Here is a 27068-nt window from a genome sequence, read left to right as displayed (position 1 = left end):
CTAATCTCAGCTCTTGATGGTGGTATGGATTAACCAACTGACCGGTTGCTTTCTACTTCACTTCATTTTCAATAAGACTTAAACTGACAATCAGCATGGCTAAAACCCATAGACCACTCAGATACTGACAGTTTATCCAGAGTTGCTGTTTGAGTTTAGATTGCATCTCCAGCTTGTATGTAATGGAAACAATTTATGTGGGTGTCTCATGTATGATGGAGAGACATGTAATGGGAAATTGGGGCACTTGACACTTCTAGGGGATAAGGAATTCGTATCTTGAGAAATACGATGGTTATGAATATGCCTTTAAATCTGAGTTCTTAGAGGCCTAGGTCAAGAATACCCAGAAATTAATAGGCCTACATCAGGGCTTGCACACAGTGGAAGCATGACTGATTTCTGCTATTCATGAGCACTCTACCACTTGCCATGCATGGTGTGTCACAGCTACTGTGGGACCAATCTTTCTTCCTGCAGTGGACAGACATTCTCCTCTCCCTCAAGGACATGGAAGATCAGAGAATTTGGCTGAGCCATTCATGGGCTGAGGCTCTCACAATGTCACATACAAACATACTTTTATGCACGAAAACTGTATACTTGCTGCTGATCATGATTATCGATATTAACACAAACTATTATTTTAGTGACTGCATCTATGGCAGATGTGATGCTGAGTATTTTATGAATATTATTTCCAGTCTTCGTAACAACCTTTTGATTTAGGTAGCACTGCTAGCTATATTTTTTTTAATAAATAAACCATGGCTCATAGAGGTTAAACAAATTTTCCTAGAACATAGAACTGGGAAGGGACTAAGGTTTTATTCAAATCTACTTCTATTGGATGCAAAACCAGTGCTATCCCCACCACCATCCTGTGTCTATATACCTTTGTCACAGGGCCTACTGCACTTCCAGGCAATTCCTGTTCTGTACCAAGTTGTCATTTAATGAATTTAAAGACATCCTTCATTTTCTGACATATCTAGCAAAAGGAATCAGAAAAGGGAGGGGGAGGTTAAACAGAAAAAGTCCAGTGGAAATAGCACATAAAAAACCCCTATATGTATTATAAATATATACAGTACCTGTGTGAGTGGAATGTAAACCAAAAATAAAATTTTGAGGCCCCCCTGCCAAACCATCTGAATGGACTCCCTCCTCTCAGTCAGGGCACTCCAAAGTTAACCTGAAGGACAGCTCAGGCCATGACGAGAAGTGAGGGTCAAACATGCCTCCTCATGCCCTCTTCTCTTTTGGAATTCAGGAAAAGCCGACCAGCATTGACATCAACACAGACCTTAAGTATGATGAGAAATATTTACAATCTATTCTTTTTGAAGCCTGCCACCTGGAGGCTTCATCTGCATGGTAAAACTTTGGTCTCCACAAACCTCTTTAATGCAGACATTCCTTTCTATTGACAAACACTCTTTCAACCAATTGCCAATCAGAAATTGTTTAAATCCACTCATGACCTGGAAGCCCCTACTTTGAGTTGTCCCGTCCTTCCAGATGGAACCAGTGTAAATCTTACATGTATTCATTGACGTTTCATGTCTGCCTAAAATGTATAAAACCTAAGTGTACCTTGATCACCTTGGCGCATGTCATCAGGACCTCCTGAGGCTAAGTCATGGGGACATTCTTAACCTTGGCAAAATAAACTTTCTAAATTGATTGAGACCTGTTGAGAGGTGAAGCCAGCAGGGCTTCTGGGTCAGATGGGGACTTGGAGAACTTTTGCATCTAGCTAACGGATTGTAAGGGCACCAATAAGCACTCTGTAAATGGACCAATCAGCGCTCTGTAAAATCGACCAATCAGCGCTCTGTAAAACTGACCAATCAGCCGGATATGGGCGGGGCCAAATAAGGGAATAAAAACTGGCTACCTCAGCCAGCCCCGGCAACCCGCTAGGGTTCCCTTCCGCTGTGTGGAAGCTTTGTTCTTTCACTTTAGACAATAAATCTTGCTGCTGCTCACTGTTTGGGTCCGGACTACCTTTATGAGCTGTAACACTAACCGGGAGGGTCTGTGGCTTCACTCCTGATGTCAGCAAGAGCACGAACCCACCTGAAGGAAGAAACTCAGGACACATCTGAACATCTGAAGGAACAAACTCCGGACACACCATCACTGTAGCACTCACCACCAGGGTCCGCAGCTTCATTCTTTTTTTGTTTTGTTTTGTTTTTTGAGACGGAGTCTTGCTCTGCCGCCCAGGCTGGAGTGCAGTGGTGCGGTCTCGGCTCACTGCAAGCTCCGCCTCCCGGGTTCACGCCATTCTCCTCCCTCAGCCTCCCGAGTAGCTGGGACTACAGGTGCCTGCCACCACACCCGGCTTATTTTTTGTATTTTTAGTAGAGACGGGGTTTCACCGTGTTAGCCAAGATGGTCTCGATCTCCTGACCTCGTGGTCTGCCCGCCTCAGTCTCCCAAGGTGCTGGGATTACAGGCATGAGCCACAGCTCCTGGCCGGCAGCTTCATTCTTGAAGTCAGCAAGACCAAGAACCTCCAGAAGGAATCAGTTCCGAACACACTGTCTCAGATACTTTTAAGTTCACAGCCAATTATACATGCACATACATATTTTATATACACACACTGTCAAAAATTATAAAACTTCAAAAGTACTGGACAATAAAAAGTTGAGGGGCTTAATAAAATTCTATGGTTCTCTGAAAGCAAAGAAAATGCAATTTTTCACAAGAATGGTCTCAGAAGTAGGTCTCCAAGGCAAGGAATCTTGCCCTACCTTGTTCCTTCAATGCCATTGAGCTGTTGGTGTAGAAATGCAGCCACCATCCCTGGAACAATTTACTTCACAAAGGATTCTACAATACGGGGCAAACCACTATGTAAAAGTCAGATGTCTTTTACTTTTTAGAAGTGCCTATCCTATGCCAAGGAGAGGCATAGGATACTATTCTCATTTTTGAAAATGTTCCCTTTTTGATGAAAAATGTTCAAAGCTAGGACAAAGCACTCTTAATTGAAATAATTCAGAAAAAAAATAGCTCCGGATGGTGGGCGTTGAGAAGATGCTTGAAAACTGCAGAAAAAAAATTCCAGAAATATAATTTTAGTATCGTTTTTTCCTAACTATTTTTTTTTCTTTTTGAGACAGAGTTTCTCTCCTGTTGCCCAGGCTGCAGTGCAGTGGCACGATCCCGGCTCACTGTAACCTCCGCCACCCCCACCTCCCCCCCCACCGCCCAGGGGTCAAGAGATTCTCCTGCCTCAGCCTCCCAAGCAGCTGAGATTACAGACACGTGCCAACACATCCAGCTAATTTTTGTATTTTTAGTAGAGACGGGGTTTCGCCACGTTGGCCAGCTGACCTCAGGTGGTCCACCCGCCTCGGCCTCCCCAAGTGCTAGGATTACAGGTATGAGCCATCGCCCCCAGCCCTTTCCTGCCCTTTAAAAATCTCTTTGTTGTGTGGCCGAGGCAGCTTTATGGGTTCTTTATGACAAGTAAGGGGGAAACCTGAATGACTGTTTTCTTGGTAAAAGCTAGAGCTGAGTGCAGATGCAATCTGTTATCCAGGGAGCCAGGGCAGAACGGTATATTCCATTACATGTCCACAGCTGCGTGGGATGTAATGGTTTCTGGTGTCAGAGGTGAAGAGCTTCAATTTAACGGAGACTTCTTGCTGCAAGATTTGCTACAAGGAGTTTGTGAACCTTTTGATATGTATATTTCCAAGTATGTAAGACCCAGAAATAGAAAAGCCCCCATTAGAAAAATTCTCACAGATCACAAACAGCCCAGGAAAGCTAATGGCCTGAAAGGTATCCTCCCCATCCACCTTTCTCCCATCCCACCCCCAACACACACACACACACACACACAAACATCAAATACATACATTTGGAGAAGACAGGAAGTGTATGCTCCAAATATAGAGAGGGCTTGTGCTTATGGTGGGACCTGATTTGATGGACTTCTGTGTTTTCTGTCGTTCTGTGAAAGGGATCTTCCTCTTTGACCTCTATCCTGTTAAAAATTTGTGTTTTCCTGCTAAAAAATTTTGTTTTCTAGCTTTTCTGAGGAGACAGATTATACACTTAGCACAGTAAAGATACATACAGCACTTCCTGAGCCACTGAGGACAGGAATTTTTTTTTCCTAGAAAATAAGCAAACCTGAGTGTGTGTGTAACTGGATTTTTTTTCTTCTCTTAGCTGGAAGGTGTCATGTTTAATGAGTGGCTTTAACCGTTTTTTGCACCCAAATCCACACCTTCATGTCTGTACCTTGAGGCCTCCAAGGAAACAATAATATGGCAGAAAATACCAGGATGGCAATAATGTATCAGATCAGGGATAGGATTCTTTTTCTTATGAAGTCAGGTGAATTGGTTCTCTCTGAAAGGAAAGCCTTCAAAATGTGCGAGGGAAATACAAGGGATTTCAGAAAAATCTGTTGAATTTTTAATAATCTTTCAAATCCCTCTGAGCAGGGAACAACGTTACTTTGCATCCACAAGGACAGCAACTGCAATCTTTCCAGGCCCTAAAATGTTATAGTCAGAACCTTCACTCTGGGCCAGAAGGCCTCTGCAAAACTTCCAGAAGAAAAATCAAAAGTAATTTTAAAAACCTTCAGAGTAAACTATAACATCTACATCTCCACACAGACTGAGTTTCTGATCATGAAAACAAACACTATTCCACTGTTGACTTCATTTTGGAATCATCAGATTGTTATCTTAACAATAAACAGTTTCAACTAAACCATCTCTTATTCAGATTTTTGAAACAGCCAGTGCAAAAAAGGACACACTCTCTCTACACATGACAAATATATCTTTCTTAGACTTTAAAAGGAATTTCTTCAAATTGTTTGCAATTAAATACTGTTCAGAACAATACAAGAAACTCTGACAGGGTTCTAGAAATACTGAAAATCAAAATAGCAAGAGTGAACCTCTTTGATCTAGGGATTCTACAATTAAAGTTTCTTGAACTATACAAGATTTATAAGCACTGTTATCAAACATGGCAACAGGTAGAATTTGATCAGAGAAAGCCATACAGATACATCTAGATTTGTAAAATCCAAGGACGAAGGCTTTAATCGGGTGCTGCAGCCATGGAGATGGGAGCTCAGTCTCAAATCCATCTCCCCTGACGGACTAAAACTAGGGATTTATATAGAAAGGAAAGGATGTAACAATGTGTAAGAAAATAGGAGGGGCAAGGAAGCAACAATGATAAATGAGGGGTCAGACTTGAGAGGCCTGACCTGGTGAGTTTTAGTTCTTTGGCACTTTTTCTGAGAGACCTGAAGGTTGTTTCCTGAGGTAGGAACTCAGATGAAACAAATGTAAGTTTCAAGCTTTAAGACTAGGGGTCAATTTGCAATTAAATATTGTATGTTTATCAAACAAACGAACAAAAACAAACCTATCTATGGCAATGGTCCCCAACCTTTTTGGTGCCAGGGACTAGTTTCATGGAAAACAATTTTTCCATGGTCCAGGGGTGGAGTGGGGGGTTTGTGGGGTGGATGGTTTCAGGATGAAACTGTTCAACCTCAGATCCTCAGGCATTAGATTCTCAAAAGGAGCACACAACCTAGATCCCTCGTATGCGCATTTCACAGTAGGATTTGCACTTGTATGAGAATCTAATGCTGCTGCTGATCTGACAGGAGGTGGATTTCAGGTGGTAACACTTGCCCACCCACAGCTCTCCACCTCCTTTGTGGCCTGGGTCCTAACAGGCCACCAACCCCTGATCTATAAGATTATCGGGTCAATTTCAAGAAGACACTCCAAGTGTTCAACTTCCAGTGCAGCTCATGGCATCTTCAGAGGGAGCTTTTTCAGGGTCATCACTCTGGAGAGATAAAGGAGTGAGCAATCTGGCTTTTCTGTGTCTGGTGTGTCTTGGACTTTAATAGGGAAGATTAAACTTTTTAGAAACAACTATATCTCTCCTAGCTGCAAATAACCTTGAGAGCTCTCTTGAGAGAAAGGATCTCAGCCTTTACTGAGGAGAGATGTTCATTGGAAATGTCAGCGATGTTTTCATGTTTCAGCTATAGGTTTAGTTGTAGTTACACTTAGTTCTACTAGCTTAACATCCATGGTAAAAGTTCTAAGTGGCGAATATTATTTCTCCTTGCCCTGAAGACTGGGTCCCATAGGAGGAGGGTGGACAGGCTTCCAAATTCCTTTCCCATCCTGCACCCTCCTTGGTGCCCCCCTGTATCCCTTCCATCTTGGAGCACTCTTGCTTTGTCTTCTTAGCCCCCAACTTTGCTGGTCAGATGTCCTAAGACCCGCACTTGGCAATCTTGTCTTATCTCTATACCCACTCCTTGAAAAAATGTATCCCATGGCTCTGCAATTTAGCAGCTCCTAGATTCCCAGCCTCAGATCCCATCCCTACTCTTCTCAACACAACAGTGTGGCTAAGTGGAGGGCCCTGCAGTCATACTGTCTGGGTTCAAAACTCCATCCATCAACTTGCAGACTGTGTGACTTGTACAAGTGACTTAGCCTGTCTATGGGCCTCAGTGTCCTCATCAGTAAAATGGTGAGGCTGATAGTGCTTGAGGTTATTTCGAGGAATGTGTGTGTTAAATGCATGGAAAACACTTGGAATAGCACTGGGCATATCAGATGTGCTCAGGAATGTTAGTGGCTATGGCTGCTACTGCTGCTGCTACAATTTAAGACATCTACCTGAATGTCTTGCATGCACCTTGAAACCAGTATTTCTTAATGCAATTGTGAGCCAGGTAGATAATACATTGTGTCATTTAACCCGCACAACAGCTCTCAAAGTAGTATTCCAGGTATCTGACCGTCTACTGCTTCATAACAAACAACTCCAAACGTGGTGGCCTTAAACAAAAACCATTTTATTAGGCACATGAATTCTCTGAGTAGGGAATTCCAACCAGCACAGGGAGGGTGGCTGCTTTTTCACCACATCTGGGACCTCAGCTGGGGGTGATGCAAGCAGCTGGCAGTTGAAATCAACCAGAAGCTTCTTGATCTACATGTCTGGCACCCACAGGGGACTACTTGAGAGTTGGCTTTGGCTGAGACTGTTGACCAGGTCACCTACACGTGGCCTCCCCATGTGACTTGAGCTTCTCAGAGCCTGGCAGCTGGGTCCAGGAGGTAGCATTCTAACAAGACATCTGGAGAGTAAGAGACAGAAGACAGAAGCTGAAAGACCTTTTATGAGCTAGCCTCGAGACAGAGCATTGCTGCTACCATACGTGGTTGGCTAAAGCAATCACAAGCCTGCCCAGGTTCAAGGTTAGGGAAGATAGACTTCACCTTTTATTGGGAGGAGTGTCAACAAATGTATGTTCCTTTTAAAAAATTGCTACAGGCAGGTATCATTATGACTATCCCTCAATAATGAAGAAATAGAAGCTTAAATGGATTAATACAGTAACTTAAAGAAGGTGACATAGTTAGAAGGTGGACGAATCCAGATGTGAGCTCAAGATTTTATGTTGAGCATGAGTTTATTCTTATTTATTCTGCTAGGCACTTTACACAGTTTCAATAAAAGAACCAATGTTTCTGTTCAATTATTAAAAATTCTCAGCTGTTTTCCCTTGAAATATTGCTTATCTTCCAATTCTATTCTCATTTCAAGAATTTACTAATTCTCTTTTTAACTAGATCTCAGTTAGAGTTATGACCTTTTTAAATGTGTTTCAAGAATTTCTAATTACTTATTTTTCATATATACCTGTTTCTGTTTCCGTTCTGCTTATTTTTGCTTTATAATTTTTAAAAGTTTTTAAAGTGAGTTTTATTCTTTTATCTCTTTTGGAACTCTAAACTCAACTGGAGAACGTATCAGAATCCTATTAACTAGAAAGCTCTTGTCAAAATGCATCTCCCTTATTTTCCTCCTTCCTATCCTCCCCTACCCAAACAATAGATTTAGGCAGTTACAGATAGACCCCAGACATGTTTATTTTAGGAATGCTTCTGAGGTGATAATGACCCACTGCCCATCCATCTTCCCCACCCTCTTTCTGCTGACCCATCCCTCAATGCACACACTCCACCCAAGTTTGGGAATCATCACTTTAAAACATAAATTTAAAAAGTATCATGCATGGTAGGTCTTGATTGTGTGTGTTTGTTTACTACCAATCCATCCCAATACCAAGCAGCGCCATTTTCAATTATACTGGAAATATGGATTCTTTGGGGTCATGTAGAACATACTACCTGAAATTTGGGGAGACCCAGATACAACCACCACCCCCTTCATCCTCTTCAAGTAACTAAGCTATTTCAGAAAAATGGAGGAATTGTGATGGAAAAGGAGAGATTTCACAGCCCTAAGCAGGACCAAAATGGGATAGGTGCATGGCAGGTATGTTCTAAGGCTCGAAGTTAAGTCAACAGAAAACCCAAATGCACTGTTATTCAGCAGAGGCCTTAAGTGATCAAGGAACAACTTGAGGCACTGGGCACCATGGGGAAGAGATTCCAGGAGAACAGGGGAAGGTTGTGGAAGGGGCAGTGGTGGGGGAGGGGGAGGAGTTCCTCCTTAAACAGTTTAACTAATTGGTCATATTGTTACTGGTGGAGGGTGTCCAGGTTCTTCACAACTTGAACAAAGAATTGGACAAAACGGATAAACAGAACAAGGAAAGAATGAAGCAATACAAGCAGAGATTTATTGAAAATGAAAGTACACCCCCCAGGGTGGGAATGGGCCGAGCATAGGGGCTCAAGAGCCCCGTTACAGAATTTTCTGGGGTTTAAATACCCTCTGGAGGTTTCCATGGATTAGTTGGTATATGTAAATGAAGAGGATGTAATTGGAAGATTTCATATAAATTGCTTTTGCCTTTTAAAAAATCAAATCAGGACTGAGCATGGTGGCTGACGCCTGTAATCCTAGCACTTTGGGAAGCCTATGTAAATGAATACATACTTAGGAATGCCTATGTAAATGAATACATTTACATAGGCATTCCTATGTAAATGAGGAGGATGAAGTAAATTTACAAAGTCATTTACTTGGTGTACGCCCTATGTAAATGGTGAGGATATTTCCTGTCATAGCTGAAGTGTTTCCATTCGATTTAGTTCTAGGAAGTCAGTGTGAATCGGCCTTATGTTCCCTGCCTCCAGATCCTATTCTCCTGCCTCAATATTGTTTCTTGGGGGCAGGAGGGCGGGGTGAGGGGCGGTTCTTACTGCCAATTTATAAGACAAAAAAAAAAAAGGTTGCCAATCACCTTTTAATGTATACTCTGCATTTTAAAAAAGATTTTTTATTTTTTTTTGGAAGAAAGCAAAAGTCAGACAGGTCTCAAAACCTTACATACCCATCCTGAATAGCATTCTTCAATTGATAGCAAATAACTACTTTTCTAAATTGGACTCAAAATATGACTGGAGATTTTTGCCCTAATATGCAGTGGTGTGCTTCTTTATATAAATCTGATCAATAAAAAGATTCACTGATGAAATGTCAACAGGTAATGGTTTTAATCACAAAGAGATTCACCATAAATTTTTTCTAAATAGCAAGTTTCTTTAATAAAGTATGATTTTTTTTTTTTTTTTTTTTTTTTTTGAGACAGAGTCTTGCTCTGTCGCCCAGGCTGGAGTGCAGCAGCATGATCTCGGCTCACTGCAAGCTCCACCTCCCAGGTTCACGCCATTCTCCTGCCTTATTCTCCCAAGTAGCTGGGACTACAGGTGCCTGTCACCATGCCCGGTAATTTTTATATTTTTTAGTAGAGACAGGGTTTCACCGTGTTAGCCAGGATGGTCTCCATCTCCTGACCTCACGATCCGCCCGCCTCAGCCTCCCAAAGTGCTGGGATTACAGGCATGAGCCACCGCGCCCAGCTGATTTTTTTTTAAAGACAAGGTCTCACTCTGTCACCCAGGCTGGAGTGCAGCTGTGTGATCTTGGCTCACTGTAGCCTCCACCTCATTGGCTCAAGCAATCCTCCTGCCTCAGCCCCCCAAGTAGCTAGGAGTATAGGTGTGCACCACCAAGCCTGGCTGATTTTTTGTATTTTCAGTAGAGACAGGGATTCACCATGTTGCCCAGGCTGGTCTCGAACTCCTGAGCTCAAACAATCTGCCCTCCTTGGCTTCCCAAAGTGCTAGGATTACAGGCGTCGGCCACCATGCCCAGTACTGATTTGATTTTTTTAAAAACAAAAGCAATCTATATGAAATCTTCCAAGAAAACAGTAAATTCACGAAGAACAGTATTCCAACATTTTCTCTTGAATCCATTGTTTAAAAACATTAAGATAATTTATTTTTAGAGTAGTTTTAAGTTTCCAAAACCGTGGAGCAGAAAGCGCAGTTCCATATACCCACCTCCCTCACCTTCTCCCCTCCCCACCCCAGGTTTTCCATTAACATCTTGCACTGCTGCGCTACGTTTGTCACAACTGATGAACCAGTGCCAAAACATTATTACTAACAAAAGTCCATAGTTTGCAATAAGGTTGTTCTTTGAGCTGTGCACTCTCTGGGTTTTGACACAGGCATAATGACATGCATCCACTATCACAGTGTCACACAGAATAGTTCCACCTCCCTAAAAATCTCTGTGCGTCACCTATTCACCCCTCCCTCTCTCCCACTGAACCCCTGGCAACCATTAATATTTTTTACTGTAGCTACAGTTTTGCCTTTTCTAGAATGTCATATAGATGGAATCATATTTATTGTAGCCTTTTCAGACTTGCTTCTTTCACTCAGCAATATGCATTGAAGTTTCCTCCACATCTTTTCATAGCTTGACAGCTCATTTTGTGTCCAGAATTGGTGGGCTCTTGGTCTCGCTGACTTCAAGAGCGAAGCCGTGGCCCCTCCCTGTGAGTGTTACAGTACTTAAAGGCGGCAGGTCCGGAGTTTTATTCCTTCAGATGTTCAGATGTGTCCAGAGTTTCTTTCTTCTGGTGGGTCCGTGGTTTCGCTGACTTCAGGAGTAAAACTGCAGACCTTCGCGGTGAGTGTTACAGCTCATAAAGGCAGCATGGACCCAACGACGGAGCAACAGCAAGATTTACCAGGAAGCAAAAGAACAAACCTTCCACAACGCGGAAGGGTACTCAAGTGGCCCACCAGTGCTGGCTGGGGCAGCCTCCGTTTATTCCCTTATCTGACCCCACCCACATCCTGCTGATTGGTCCATTTTACAGAGTGCTGATTGATCCACTTTACAGAGAGCTGATTGGCCCATTTTACAGAGAGTTGATTGGTCCATTTTGACAGGGTGCTGATTGGTGTGTTTACAAACCTTGAGCTAGACACAGAGTGCTGATTGGTGCATTTACAATCCTTTAGCTAGACACAAAAGTTCTCCAAGTCTCCACTAGAGTACCTAGACACATAGCACTGATTGGTGCCTTTACAAACCTTGAGCTAGACACAGAGTGCTGATTAGTGCCTTTACAATCCTTTAGCTAGACACAAAAGTTCTCCAAGTCCTTACCTGACTCAGGAGCCCAGCTGGCTTGCCTAGTGGATCCCACACCGGGGCCTCGTCTGGCACCGCATGCCCGCACTCCTCAGCCCGTAGGTGGTCAATGGGAACTGGGCTCCCCGGAGCAGGGGGCGTGTCCATTGGGGAGGCTCGGGCCTTGCCGGAGCCCACGGGGGAAGATGTGGGAAGGGGGGGCTCGGGCATGGCGGGCTGCACGTCCCCATCCCTGCCTGGGGGGAGGCGGCTGAGGCCCTGCCAGAATTCGAGTGCAATGTGGCGAGCTGGCAGTGCTGGGGGACCTGGTGTACCCTCCGCAGCTGCTGGCCCAGGTGCTAAGCCCTTCACTGCCTGGTGCGGCACCAGCGGGCGCTCTGAGTTCCGGGCGCGGAGCCCGTGCCCACCCGGAACTCACACTGGACTGCGATCGCTGGCGCAGCCCCAGTTCCCGCCCGTGCCTCTCCCTCCACACCTCCCGGCAAGCAGAGGGAGCCGGCTGCGGCCTCCGCCAGCCCAGAGAGGGGCCCCCACAGTGCAGTGGCGGGCTGAAGGGCTCGTCGACAATGGCCAGAGATGGCCAGAGTGGACGCTGAAGCCGAGGAGGCGCCCAGGGCGAGCGAGGGCTGCTAGCACGTTGTCACCTCTCAGTTTCTTTTTATAGCTGAATAATATTCCATTGTATAGATGGACCATAGTTTATTTATCTGTTCACCTACTGATGGACATATTGGTTGCTTCCAAGTTTTGGCAACTGTGAATAAAGCTACTATAAATATTTGTGTGCCTGTAAGTTTTCAATTCATTTGGGTAAATACCAAGGACAATGATTGCTGGCTCGTATGGTAAGATTGTATTTAGCTTTTTAAGAAACTACCAGATGGCCCATTTTTTAAGCCTGTCTTTTAGACTTTCTAATGTAGAAGACATTTTTTACAATTCCCGTCCATATACGAAAAAGAAATCAAAATAGAGAACAGAATCAAATAGATCACCACACATTGCCCATTGAAGAGTAAAAAAGAATAACTGCAACATCTGTTCTTTCTCAACAAAGGAGATGGTGAAATGGCAACATTGTGATGATGAGAACACAGCTGGGATAGCTCTCCCCCAAAACCGGCCCCAATGCCCCACACCTCCCATACTGAGTAGTCCCCTTCCACCTTGAATCTGGGATAGCTTTGGGACCACTTTCACCAACAGAAAGTAGCAGAAGTTATGTTGTGACAATTCCAGGCCTAAGCCTCAAGATGATCTGGCAATTTCTTTAGTACTTTGGAGAAACTTGATCTGCCGTGTGAGAAGTCTGGCTATTATGACAGAGAGGCCATATGGAGACAGAGAGTGAGAGGGAAAGGGAGGAGGAGAGGGAGAGACCCTAAGGCCACAGAAAGAGAAAGAGAGGCCTATTTGTCTTAGTATCCCAGCTGAGCCCAGTTGAGCCCATTTTCCTGCCATCCCTGCCAAGGCGAGGACATGCCAGGGAACCTTCTTGAATGTTCCAGTGCATCAGTCCCCAGTTGCCTACAATGTTAGCAAATAGTACATGGAGCAGGAGAATCATTCACTTGGGCCCAGTCAACCTAAAGAACTGCTGAGATAATAAGACAGACGCTTTAAGCTACTAAAATTTGGGCTAGTTTACTATTCACCAATGGATAACAGAAACAATCATCTGCACTGCTTTTCCTTCATTTCTTTATTTCCCTGTATTTGCTAATTTCTCAAGTAGTTATAAAATTTTGTGGTTGAAGTAAATGTAATTCAAAAGAAAACTTGCTTATTTTTATTTATTTTATTTTTTGAGACGGAGTCTTGCTCTGTTGCCCAGGCTGGAGTGCAGTGGCACGATCTCGGCTCACTGCAAGCTCCGCCTCCCGGGTTCACGCCATTCTCTTGCCTCAGCTTCCCGAGTAGCTGGGACTACAAGCGCCCGCCACCATGCCCAGCTAATTTTTTGTGTTTTTTTTAGTAGAGAAGGGGTTTCACCTTGTTAGTCGGGATGGTCTTGATCTCCTGACCTCGTGATCTGCCCACTTTGGCCTCCCAGAGTGCTGGGATTACAGGCGTGAGCCACCGCGCCCGGCCGCTTATTTTTATTTTTAAATTTTATTTTAAAATTTGTGGTGGTGGCTGTCTCCAGTGATTTCTATCCACTCTTGTTTTTGGGCCCCCAAAGCCTTCCCAGCAGTGTGTGCTGCCGCGGTCACGGGTTGCCACGTAACTGTTCGTAGCTAAACGGATTCCCTTCACTCCCTCTGTTGCACTTGGGAGAGCAACATGAGATGTGAAGGTGGCCAATTTATGTTAACTCTCAGCTGTATGCTAATTATTGGCCAAAACATCCCCACAGATGGCCATAGGAAACATAAGTAAGAATGCCTAGATAGCTCAGATCATGGCATGGTCAGTAAATATTGCAGTGGGGAGCAAGGTTAGTAAATACTGCAATGGGGAAAGTTACAGTGAGCACTGTACAAACTAAAAATCCACAATAGTATACAATTAAAAAAAAATTAACTATACCTTTGAGAAAACATAATCCTCATAGGAAAAAGCACTATATCTAAATCTAATTTTTTTTCCCAAAAGCTAGCCTTAACACATTAATTTCACTCCATATATAACGGACATTGTACCTCTCTCAGTTATTAGCTTTCTGGCTGTTTACTAATTTATCCAACCAACATTTCATAAGTTCTTTACATGTGCCAAGCATGGACTGTGCTAGAAATAAATGAGAGAGAGAATTTCAGAATACCTGAAGCAATTTACAGTTTAGTGAGGTAGACAGACAAGTGATAAGAAATCAAAATGCAGTTGAAATATTGTAGTAAGATGGAGCAAAATAAGAAATAAAGGGTACTCTATGAGAGAAAGGCACTGTGAGAGGCCAAGGGAAATTTCCTGGCATGAAAAGATTCAGATTGAAGCCACGTTGTGAGAGATCTGAGGCCAGGCCTACCGTGCTCTGGGCTTCCGTGCACAGCCTCTGCTGGGTTCACCGGCCAGGGCAAATATTAATTGAGCATTGTTTGCAGGTCTCTGGCCCGGGTTCTCAGTGAGTCAGCACTCTGTTCACTCAACAAGGGTGAATCCCCCACTCACAACATGGGATTTCCCGCCCAGCGGAAGCTCATGCAATGGCTCAGGAAGAATTGCACTAGTCAGACTTTTCAAACCACAGTTTTTCTAATTTTACTTTTGCACTTTGACGTAGAAGAGACTCATGTAGTCACCTTGTTTTGCATAGATCTCCACCCCTGCCGGGATATCTCTCCTGTATTCAGCAAGTCAATAAACCTTTCTTCCCCTCGGTTCCCAAATGCAGCTCCTTATCATAGCCCTGTTGTACCTTTTGCTTTTACTTTCGATGGCTGAGTCTTGAGATAAGGTAGCAGCATTGCAGTAGTTTTCCTATTACTCAAACAAATATTTCCTTTTCTCCCCAGTGGGCCTTTCTCATGCCTTTTTTTCATTTATCAGATTTTAGAATGTTAATGATACCATGGGTTCCACACCACCCCTTCCAAGGAAGGTCACCCCTTCCACATGAGGTCATCAGTCATGAGGTCATCACCATGAAGAAGAGAAACAAGAGTGCTCAATTTCACTACAAAAGTATTGGGTACAGCTTCTTCATGAAGTCCTACCTTGGCCTTTTAATATCCCAAAAGACAGTTTCTTTTTTTGAGAGTCTTGCTCTGCCACCCAGGCTGGAGTGCAGTGGCACAGTCTCAGCTCACTGCAACCTCTGCCTCTCCGGCTCAAGCGATTCTCATGCCTCAGTCTCCTGAGTAGCTGGGATTACAGGCGTACACCACCATACCCACCTAATTTTTTTTTATTTTTAGTAGAGATGGGGTTTCACCATGTTGGCCAGGCTGCTCTCAAACTCCTGGCCTCAAGTGATCTGCCTACCTCAACCTCCCAAAGTGCTGGGACTACAAGCTTGAGACAGTTTCTTTTAGAGACTAATCTCCTAGGATTATTTTCCACCAGGATGAAACTCAAAATAATGTAGTCCAAAAGTCAAAAAATGATGGGCAGCAGGACAAATTTGACAGGCAGATAGATTTCATTTGGCATTCACAATGTTTTCAAATATTTTGAGTAAGTTACCCACGTATGAAATCTAGGAGATTTCACATAAAAATCTGAAAGTCTAGCTTCTTCTAAAACAGCAGACAATGGGACATAATGCAGCCCCCATTCCAACTGCGAATCAGCTATCACCGAGTGACAGCCATGCTTGGATACATGAGCACACGGTCTCCATCTCCCCTTAGCGCCCACCCAGGGAAGTGCACTCTGCACTCCGAGCCCTTGCAGGTAATCAATTTTCCATCCCTAAACTAGTTCAATTCCCTCACTCGACAGAAAAAGCAACTGAGACCCAGGGCTGGGAGCAGTGGCTCACGCCTATAATCCTAGCACTTTGGGAGGTCACGGAGGGCTGATTGCCTGAGCTCAGGAGTTCAAGACCAGCCTGGGCAACACGGTGAAACCCCGTCTCTACTAAAACACAAAAAAATTAGCCGGGCATGGCGGCCTGCGCCTGTAATCCCAGCTACTCGGGAGGCCGAGGCAGGAGAATTCCTTGAACCCAGGTGGCAGAGGTTGCAGTGAGTCTCGATTGCGCCACTGCACTCCAGCCTGGGCGACAGACTCGGTCTCAAAAAAAAAAAAAAAAAAAAAAAGAAAAGAAAAGGAAAGAAACTGACTGAGACCCAGAAATACCCTAAGAGTTCCCTGGGCTGAGAGTTTATTATTTGTACAACCAAAACCAGATCTCGAACAAACACGGGTCTCTGCAGCACTTTCTACTTCCAGGTGCTATCTTTCTCTCTTCTTCACATCTATGACCAACTGCTCACCATGGTGAACTGCTTCAGGCTCCTGTCCCAGCAAGGAGGATAGAATGAACAGCATCAAGCTCTATGCAAACAGTAATCAGGACTTAAGTCTTAACATTTTGATTTTAAGAAGTTTAATTATTTTGACTTGGCTATATATTTTTTCTACCCAATATCCCTTTTCTGTGTCACATTGTAATCGGTAGATAAATACACAGGTGAGAAAGCAACAGGCAGATGTTTTCCTGGTCATTGTATGTCTGTGTCCTGTAAGAAGGTGTGGACTTCCTCCTCACAATGACTTCTAGTTACCTTGATGGGGAGAGTCCACTTGAAATATTATGTCAATATCACAGATTGATTTTATAACCCAGATGCAGTAGATTTTCATTTTACCCTTGGTCCTGGTGGAACATGGTTAGCAAACATTATTTTACATTGTACACTGATAATCATGAACTTCATTCCAATAAAACTTCCTGTCAGCTCTTACAGAATAGGCACTTTTCTAGGTGGTGAGATGAAGCTTTATAAATTACTCCCTCTCACTAGCCTGAAACAGTAGTAGAATTCCAAAAGATAGCCTTCTCTCTTATCTTAACATGTTGGTGCCGTCTTACTTGTACCTCAGGAAGCTAATTAACAGGAAAAAAAAATTGTCTCTTTTATTTTTAATGAATAAGAGGCACATCTCAGCAAAAGTGTGAAAACTTTCAATTGGCTCGAACATTTTATAACCTTTTTCTTCCCCTAAGAGGTGCCCAGGACCTCACAATGAGGTGCATTGTGAGCCTCATGCCAAGGTTAATTTGGCACCTCTGTCACAAAGAGCATGTGCAGACTCTGACAGGCTTTCAGGGAAGCCACGTCCCCCATGTGCTCTTCTGGTTTCCTCATTGGTGTTCAGGAAGAGGAGGCTGGGCTCTTCTCGGGGAGTGGAGTGCTATGACAGATGAGACTTTCATGCAAGAAAATAAATCCTGCACATTTGATGTACTGCTTTAAACTTAAAGACCTCTTTGGACCCGAAATTGTAAGGTAAGGAGTGCTCAGCCACAATTCTTGAACTTTGAAACTGTGAGTGTAATTTGAGGACGCTCCTTAAAACTCTTTGTTGTTTAATATGAAACTCTAACATGCTGCCTAACCTCCTGCCTTTAGGAATAACAGCTCACTGTCAAACGTGCACGCACAGCTCTGACTTAAAAGGAAAAAACTCACCACTGTTTAAAAAATAAAATGTCTTCCATAATGAAACGGTCATGTAGATTTGTTGTACTTTTACACATGTGTGGAAGTGTCCAGAATAGACTGGGTTTTCTCTCTGCTCTCTGTAAATCAGTATGCTTAAAAATGGGATCAAATTATCCTTGCCAGTTGAAAGGGGGTCTGGGTGCAGGTCCAATCCCATAGAGAGAAAACACCAGTGCAACTGTAACCAAATGGCAGTCCCGATCCGCAGGACTTTATCCTGAATGTCGCTTCCTGCTTGCTTAGGCATGGGAGGGGATTAAACTCCGCCGCTACAACTTCATTGGCACTGCTCTGTAAGATGTGAAAAATCTGTTGGGATCAGGTGTTAGTGTGTACAGTCCAGTTTCCTGTGATTGCGGCAAATTAAATTGGAAAGTTGAAAGTAATTATAGTACAGACTAGGAGCCAAGGATTTATCAGACATAAAAGGAGGTAGAACAAGTTCAACAATATAGAAGGCAATTATTTGTCTAATGTTGTTAACAAAATCCGATCTTCCTGTAGAAATGTACAGGAACTTTTAATATTTTTGTTCAAGTCTGATCTGCCTCCAGAGGTAGAATACTCGATGCTTTTAGCTAGCTCATTGATCTGTTCCTAAGAGGGCATCACTGTATAATATTTCTCTCTCACTGGGGAAAATAAGATGTTGAGTCTTCTTTTTGTGCCCTAGAGAACTTAAAAGAGAAGACGTAGATGATAATCAAACTGCATCTATTTTCTTAAATCTTTGTCCACATGTTCCTACTCTCCTCCTTTGCCTTTATCAGATATACAGGGACTAAGTTAATTGTTACTTCCCCTGAGATCTCCAAACCCTCACTGTACCCTTTTCACAGAGAGCACCAATCTGCATCCATATCTCCCTCCACAAAAAGCAAACCATATTCTTGCTCCATATCCTTTCTCATCCTTGATAGGGGCTTATATTTCCATGTAAGTCCCCAGGGCATATTCCCATGACACAGGTTCTCTCCTACCTACATATTGAGTAGGTGAACCCCAAAGGACATCCTACCTAAAATCTGAGGGTGCAGCAGTAGTGGAGTCTTGGCCTGAAAACTCTCTCCTCCAGACATTTTCCTTTCCAGAACTAAGCTGCTTCACCTGACTTTAGGTATTCTCATGGCTTTATGCTTTGAACCACATGACTGATTAGCTGCGCACAGATTAGGGTAGGTGCTCATTCACTCTAAGGATTAGAATGTTGAAGCTACCTTTGTCCTGGAGGGAAGAAAATTTCCCCAACAGGCATGCCATAAACATTGTGGGGGTCTCTGGAACTGAGAGTGGCTCTCTGAGGATTTTTCTCTTTCTCCTGTCACTCTGTTTCTTGCTAATCTTGGCACACATTTTAAAAATGGCTCTAGCCGAAAGGTGAAGGTTCCTAAGGAAGGGAAGCTGGGCTGTTTACTTCATGCAGCCAGGACACCCAGGATGTAGGTGTGAAGAATAGCAGTGGGCTTGGATTAGCATTCCAGTGTGCCATTGCCTTACTGAAAGAGTTATTTTTAACTTGACAACATTTCTCCACATCTGCATCCAAATACTATGTATGTGAGGATAAATATTTAAGTAATGTGTTAGTTTCATTAACCAGACACGACATCAGAGCCATTCTCGGCAATTTCTTTTCTTGTTTTAATAAAATGAAAAGGAATAATAGGGGGGAAACAAAAATATGTTACTGTGTCAATTTAGAAAAAAAATCACCAGAAAAAAATTTCAAGATTTCTCTGTTTCTTTTACTAAAGATGACACTTTCTTTATTGAAAGATTCACTCAGGTTCTGGTGGTTTTCATCTTTGACAGTCTGGGGTCTTTCCCTCGTGGCTGCACTCAGACCCTGATTTCTCAGCATAGGAATGCCTGGGGGACAGTCCCCAAAAGGTAGAGAAATGCACTGGAATTATAAACTCGAGGAATAAGATTATTCCTCTTCATTGGTCTTACTGCTATTCCTATTCATTGGTCTATGCTAAGAACCAAATCCTGATGAAACCACACCATTACAGAGCTCACATTTAAAGAATATGTCATTTGTCTGTAGAGCTAATAGTTTTCTTTATTTTTCTTAGTTTTACTTTTCATTTTTTATTGAATGAATGAAAGGCTGAAGAAATAGCTGAAATTAACTATTATGATTTCATGTCCCATTTGAAGAATATTTCATTGTAGAAATTTTCACTAAGATTAGGTGGGAATGCAACTCTTCATGAACAAACATGAAGAGATGCAATTAGACCGTTGTATTTTAAACCCTAAGACAGTGAGGAATATGATATTTAAAGATAATAATTCTGGCCTGGTGCGGTGGCTCACGCCTGTAATCCTAGCACTCTGGGAGGCCAAGGTGGGCAGATCATCTGAGGTCAGGAGTTGGAGACCAGCCTGGCCAACATGGTGAAACCCTGTCTCTACTAAAAATACAAAATTTAGCTGGGCATGTGGTGCATGCCTGTAATTCCAGCTACTCGGGAGGCTGAGGCAGGAGAACTGCTTGAACCCAGGAGGTGGAGGTTGCCATGAGCCGAGATCGCACCACTGCACTCCAGCCTGGGAGACAGAGCGACTCTTCCTCAGAAAAAAAGAAAAAAAAAAAGAGTAAAAGAGTTAATAATTCTGGGCCTAGCTCAGTGGCTCACACCTGTAATTCCAGGACTTTGGGAGGCCAAGGCAGGCAGATCACAGGACAGGAGATGACCATCCTGGCTAACATGGCAAAACCCTGTCTCTACTAAAAATACAAAAATTAGCTGGGTGTGGTGGTGTGTGCCTGTAGTTCCAGCTAATCAGGAGGCTGAGGCAGGAGAATTGCTTGAACCAGGGAGGTGGAGGTTGCAGTGAGCCAAGATTGTGCCACTGCACTCCAGCATGGTGACAGAGTGAGACTCTGTCTCAAAAAAAAAAAGAGTTAATAGTTCTGACTGCTTCCATCTATAGACAAGAAAAAAAACTAATGTATATATTCTGTCTTATCTAATATGGCAAAATCATGTAAGGTGTAACTTACTACCTATATGCCTGGTGTCAACACTTAGAGGACTCACAAAGAGTTTATTGGGAATTTCTAGGAGTTTTGCAACTCTTATGCACCTGCCCTCTCAGATGGCCACAAATGTAGGCCATGAGCAGAGCCAAGCAGTACTCACAGCCCTAGAATCACACTGATTTTTAAATAATAGTAAAATAGGTCAAAGGGAAATAATATTGGGAAACCTCTAAGGATGGAGTAAGAAAATAAGAACATAAGAATATTAAACACGTGATATTCTTGAATTGATTCTGTAGAGATGCCAGAGGATGGAGAAGTCAAGCCATTTCCTTGAGAATCAATCAGCACAAAACACTTGGAATAAAATGCGTGGATAGCATCCTAGCTTCATTTGTCAGTGCTTAGCTCAAGCAGGAGGTTGTCCCCCACTGGGGTCTTTGAACCACTCTAAAAGGAACTTATGCATATGCTTAAATTGCCTTAAATTGGCAATATTCTAAAATAGATTATTAAAGGAATGGCTTGTAAGACATCCAAAAGAGATGCCAATGGATCCTAGCATTCAGAACAGATTCACTAAAATGGAAATAATCAATATAGTTATATTGTTTTGTTCTTGTGTTACTAGCCTGTAGATGGATAGCATGTTATTTAGTCGAAAGTAATTTCATCAAAGCAAATTGGTCAACGTGATAAATTGGTTGCAAATAATTATTTCCCATCATTATATATTCAAGTATGGGTGATCAAACATGGGACAGCTTTATAACACTGTATCTTTAAATATTGTTTAACAGTTTTCAGAACTCTTATTTTTGTCATTATGTATAATGAATTCATCTTCAAGTAATTACTTTGTATTGTGAAAAGTTTGAACAACTAAGGAATTGCTTAGAGGATAAGCTAAGGATTTTTTAAATTTTATTTAGTTATTTATTTTATTTTAAGTTCTGGGATACATGTGCAGAACGTGCAGGTTTGTTACATAGGAATACATGTGCCATGGTGGTTTGCTGCACCTGTCAACCCATTATCTAGGTTTTAAGCCCTGCATGCATTAGGTGTTTGTCCTAATGCTCTCCCTCCCCTTGTCCCCACCCTGTGACAGGCCCCAGTGTGTGATGTTCCCTTCCCTGTGTCCATGTGTTCTCATTGTTCAGCTCCCACTTATGAGTGAGAACATGTGGTGTTTGGTTTTCTGTTCCTGTGTTAGTTTGCTGAGAATGTTGGTTTCTAGCCACATCCATGTCCCTGCAAAGGACATGAACCCATTCTTTTTTATGGCTGCATAGTATTCCATGGTATATGTGCCACATTTTCTTTATCCAGTCTATCATTGATGGGCATTTGGGTTGGTTCCAAGTCTTTGATATTGTGAACAGTGCTGCAATAAACATACATGTGCATGTGTCTTTATAGTAGAATGATTTATAATCCTTTGGGTATATACCCAGTAATGGGATTGCTGGGTCAAATGGTATTTCTGGTTCTAGATCTTTGAAGAATTGCCACACTGTCTTCCACAATGGTTGAACTAATTTACACTCCCACCAACAGTGTAAAAGGGACAAGCTAAGGATTTAATAATAGAAGCAAATTATTTGAAATTGATAGAGTGGTTGAACTATAATTGTGACTATAATTGTGACTTATGTATTATTTTAGGCTTTTCATTCATTATTAAATTTAATTGTATTTATTTATTTAATTATTTAATTGTATTTATTTATTTATTTAGAGACAGGGTCTTGCTCTGTTTCCCAGGCTGAAGAGCAGTGGCCCAGTCATAGCCCACTATAACCTGAAATTCCTAGATTCAAGGGATCATCTTGCCTCAGCCTCCAAAGTAGCTGGGAATAAAAGTATGCACCACCACACCAAGTTAATTTTTGTATTTTTTGTAGACAGGAGGCCATGCTATGTTGCCCAGGCCGGTCTTGAACTCCTGACTCAACTGTTCCTCCTGCCTCAGCCTCTCAGTGTTGGGATTACAGGTGTGATCACGACCATCCTATTTTAGGATTTTAAAATAACATATGCATTTTACTGGGAAATAATGAATGCAAACCAGAAAACCAATTTTAAACATAATCCTATTCAAGAAGGGCTAGCCAATGATTGCACATTAGTGCATGGTAGGCTTCCATATTGGAAGACATATGGTCTTTTAACTACCATATGGTAATTGGAAACTATCATAAATTTAAAGCAATCCATCAACTGTTGGACATTTGCATTATTTTAATTAATTGCTGAACAGTTAGATTGTTTCAATTATTCTACATTATAAGCAATGCCTAATAGGAATAACCAGCTGGAAAATAATTAGAAATAAAAAATCAAACTATTGAGGAAAAGCAATACACGCACAAAATACATAGGGTGCAAAATGGGTGGCAATTCAGACCAACTTTGAAAAAATACCTATCAGCATTATTCCCTTTTAACTAGACCATAGTTTTGAAGAAATTATCTTTTTAACCAAATTGCTTTTTGTCAAATTGCTTTTAGGCAAATTGAATTTGGGCAAATTAACGGGAAACAATAGTTCAAGGAAATGCAATAGACAAAATACACTTGAACTTCAGTGGGGCATTTTTGTAAATCCTTCATGGTATCATGGGAGACAAGATGAAGAAATATGGGCCTAGCTAATGCAATGAGGCAGATTAATAACTAGTTGAATGAACTTACGTAGAGGGTGCTTATAAGCAACTCGGGGGAGGGGATGTCTGGTGACTTACTAAAAACCTTGTTCTTGGTCCTGTCCTGATAAGCATTTCTATCAGTGTCTTGGATAAATGCACGTTTAGTAAATTTCTGAATATAACGCCAAAAGGAAGAATGCACTTATGTGACGACAGCATCAAAACAAAAACAGATCTTAACAGGTTGGAATAATGAGCTCAAGCTACCTAGACCTAAGTAACTGTGACAAATATAAGATTATTTATTTTGGTTCATAATCATAAGTGCACAAGCCCTCATTGGAAGAATTTGTACTTGTGAAATAAGACTTTAGGATTTTAGTTGATAGTAAATTCCATATGTTATAGACAAAAAAATGCAACGCGATCTTTGGTGACATTCTCCAATTATGTTCGTTCAATGAGTTATTAATCTGCCTAGTTGCATTAGCGCTGCCCATATTCTTAATCTTGTCTGCAATGATACCATGAAGGATTTTCAAAATGTCCCACTGAAGTTCAATGTGATATTTGGTGACATTATTAGAAACACAGAGGAAGAATATAAGATACTTGGCATACTATATGCCAAGCCCTGTGCAAGTCACAGCCTGTATCGTAGTCTCATCCCCCTGTGGCTTTCCTTGCTTGTGAATACATATGTAATCCTTGAGCTACCCTCAGGATCCTGCAGCCCAAATGATCAGCCAATCCAGAAGGTGATTCCAACACTTCCCACTCCAAAAGTTCTATTTATTTAAATGTTACTCAGGCATTTGTGGGTAAATATGGAGAAGGTGGTAGTAGTTGGCCTACCAGGGCAGGAACAATCTTCAAATCTGCACAAGTGTAAAGAATAATGATTAGATTTTGTAACAAAGTACATTTGGACAGATAGGGCTCTTAAGGGACATACAAGAGTAGGATAAGAAGAACATCCTCTTCTGGCCGGGTGTGGTGGCTCACGCCTGTAATCCCAGCACTTTGGGAGGCCAAAGTGGGTGGATCACGAGGTCAGGAGTTCAAGATCAGCCTAGCCAAAATGATGAAACCCAGTCTCTATTAAAAATACAAAAGTTAGCCGGGTGCGGTGGCAGGTGCCTGTAATCCCAGCTACTCGGGAGGCTGAGGCAGGAGAATTGCTTGAACCCAGGCGGCAGAGGTTGCAGTGAGCTGAGATCACACCACTGCACTCCAGTCTGGGTGACAGAGTGAGATTCTGTCTCAAAAAAAAAAAAAAAAAAAAAAAGAACATCCTCTTCTTATCATAGCAGTTAGTGAGCATGGGTAAGATTCCAGATGGAGGTGAGCAAGCGGTGGAAGTCCCAAAGGACCACTGGCGATGGTGTGCCACACACCAGTGAACCCAGGCATGAGAGGCTGGAGAAAGCATGAGCATACTCTGATAAGGTTTAAAGACTCAGGAGGGGATGAAAATCAGAGAAGCCGGCCTCTTCTGTCTGTCCTGGACAGAACTACATTTATCTACTTAGTAGAGGTTTCTGCATTCCTTTTTTATTTGTTTCTATGAGGGTCATTTCCTGTGTCTGTGTTCCTTTACACCCATCTGCTTCTGCGGATTATAGGCTGAAGGCTGAGTCTTTAGTCCTATTCTGCAAGCCATTCTCAGTAGGATGTGCTTTCCATTGCTCTTAACTTGGTGCAACAGAAAATAAGGCAATACATGGCTGTGACTTAGAGCACAAGTTTACATTGTGATCCAGGACCTGCCACTTGCCAGTTTTGGGAAATGCATTTAACTTTTCTCTGTCCATTTTCCCATGGGTAAAAGTAGAGGTAATATTAGTATTACCTGTCAGGGTTGTTAAGACAATTAAATAAAACAATATGTGGTAAACTACTTAGCACAGCTGGACCATTCAATGAAAATTTTAATTGCTATTTTTGCTGTTTTTAGTTAGCCTCTATGCCAGCTTTCTTCACTCCCTGAAGCTGAGCAAACACCAATGTAAAATAGCATGTGATCTTCAGGGCTAGATGCAATTATGAGGACTAGCCAACCATCCCTGTAACAAAAGGTAGGACCCAGTCAGCTTTAACAAAATAGGGCCTTCAGAAGGAAGGTGAAGAACTAGCGGTGAGCATCATCTTTCACTCATCTTCTCACTCAGGGTTCCAGGAAACACGTTCTCTTTAGTCTCCATCTGTAATCTACTACCTTGGGCATAGAGACTACCTCTTGGGCACATGGGAGCACAGTCCTATTCCTGTTCTGTCACTACTATACAGGCAGAAACTCTTCTTTTCTTGGAATTTTAAGTGAATACTATCATAAGCCCCCCTGTCCTAGCAATCCAGTTTGACCAATTGTCAACTCATAGCCACCCTCACCCATACTCTCCCACAATGCCCACCACCAGGTTGCTGGTGAAGTGAAACTAAGACATCATCATTTCATTTATTCAAATATTCAAGTTTGCATGTCTAATAAAAGACCTAGGACTTGGTTTTAGCAGTTCGATTTTTCCTAGAGGTCCATTTTTGAACAGATATTTGCCATTTTTTAATAGATATTTGAAACAATTAGGTAGGTGCAAAGTGTTTCAGTTCAACAACTGATAAAAGAAAAACTTCAGCCGAATTAAATTTAGAACAGTTTCATTGAGCAATGAATGATCCCCGAATTGGGCAGCCTCTTGAACGAGAGTAGGCTCAGAGACTCCAGCGCAGCCACATGGTGGAAGAAAATCTATGGACAGAAAAAGGAAAGTGATGTAAAGAAAATGGAAGTGAAGGACAGAAACAACCGGATTGTTTATAGCTCAGTGTCTCCTTATTTGAACAGGGTTCAAACAGTTGGCTACATTTGATTGGCCAAAACTCAGTGACAGGCACAAGTGTAGGCTATGGCCCGTGTCTGTTTACACCTTCACATGTTATGGTTCATGATGTACAGAGGAACCTTTAGGCTGAACTTAAGATATGTAAGGAGGCAGCTTTAGGCTAATGCTCATTTAACATGACTCTTCAGCATCCATTGAAAGGGATGTTTTTGTAACAGACCACATGAAAAACATTGTTACCAATGAAGAGTATTCAGGATCTTTTCACATTTTTACATCTCTGAAATTGAGATGCATTTTACAACTGATAGCAAGTGGTAGTTTAATTGACAGTGTTGTTTTTCTTTCTTAATGATACATTATCTAATGGTGCATCTCACAGAGGATGGTGTCTTAGAAGTGAAGAGATGCAATAGTTGAGAAGATAAATGGACACATTCACACATACACACAAATGCACCTAAAACTACTTGCTTAATTGCCTACATGTGCATCTATATGAACTAGAAAATGAAAGTAAATTTAAAGTAAAATGAGTACATGAGTTCTGAGAGAGCAAAGTAGATATTTTTGAACATTTTTCTGAAAAACCAGATAAAAATCATATAGACATTCTATTCCCACAAAGAGATAAAAACCACATAGGCATTCTATTCTCTTCCAACAGGTACAGCAGCATCCCTACCATGGAGGGTAAAGCTTGAGATTCTCAAGATAATGCTGTTTGTCCCTCAATAACATTTCCATAGTCAAACTCTCCTTTCCATATCATCGCTGTTGTCTGCACTTATCATCATATCTTTCAGAAGCTTCTTAAACAGAGATAACAGAAATGGCAAGAATGAACAATGTGGTCAGAGAGGAAAATATATGTGGTTAATAATACATTTTAAAAAGTGCTAAGTTATATATAATGGAAGCATCTATTCAGTCTACATGATGTTTGGTGAACATTCTTGGGTTATTTGTGGTTAACGGAAGTAAATTCTGTCTTCACAGCATTTGT

At 42.1% G+C, this 27068-nt stretch overlaps 1 protein-coding gene and 1 long non-coding RNA gene across 3 annotated transcripts in view, besides 2 other annotated features; one reads left to right on the top strand and one right to left on the bottom strand.

Moving 5' to 3' along the window:
- Nucleotides 1-6865: 6865 nt before the first annotated feature.
- LOC107984551 (uncharacterized) lies at nucleotides 6866-14488 on the bottom strand. The gene is made up of 2 exons (XR_001749964.2): nucleotides 14432-14488; nucleotides 6866-7171 (listed from the first exon to the last, which is right to left on the bottom strand). It is a non-coding gene; the product is annotated as an uncharacterized LOC107984551 (long non-coding RNA).
- Nucleotides 14546-14605: an enhancer, noted in NCBI's record as "active region_7585". NCBI's record gives its function as "activates an Ori minimal core promoter by ATAC-STARR-seq in GM12878 lymphoblastoid cells {active_cell/tissue: GM12878}" and the evidence as "EXISTENCE:reporter gene assay evidence [ECO:0000049][PMID:35858748]".
- Nucleotides 14616-14805: an enhancer, noted in NCBI's record as "active region_7584". NCBI's record gives its function as "activates an Ori minimal core promoter by ATAC-STARR-seq in GM12878 lymphoblastoid cells {active_cell/tissue: GM12878}" and the evidence as "EXISTENCE:reporter gene assay evidence [ECO:0000049][PMID:35858748]".
- STARD13 (StAR related lipid transfer domain containing 13) overlaps nucleotides 17244-27068 on the top strand; it is a 573658-nt gene continuing 563833 nt past the window's right edge. For both annotated transcript variants that reach the window (XM_017020835.3, NM_001243476.3), the window contains exon 1: nucleotides 17244-17360. The gene's annotated coding sequence lies outside the window, so the exon portion shown is untranslated. The remainder of the gene's footprint in view (nucleotides 17361-27068) is intronic.

Source organism: Homo sapiens, chromosome 13 (genome assembly GCF_000001405.40).
Source record: "Homo sapiens chromosome 13, GRCh38.p14 Primary Assembly".
Classification (NCBI taxonomy): Eukaryota; Metazoa; Chordata; class Mammalia; order Primates; family Hominidae; genus Homo; species Homo sapiens.
Note: the sequence above shows the minus strand (reverse complement) of the source record. Positions and strands in the feature narration are given on the sequence as shown.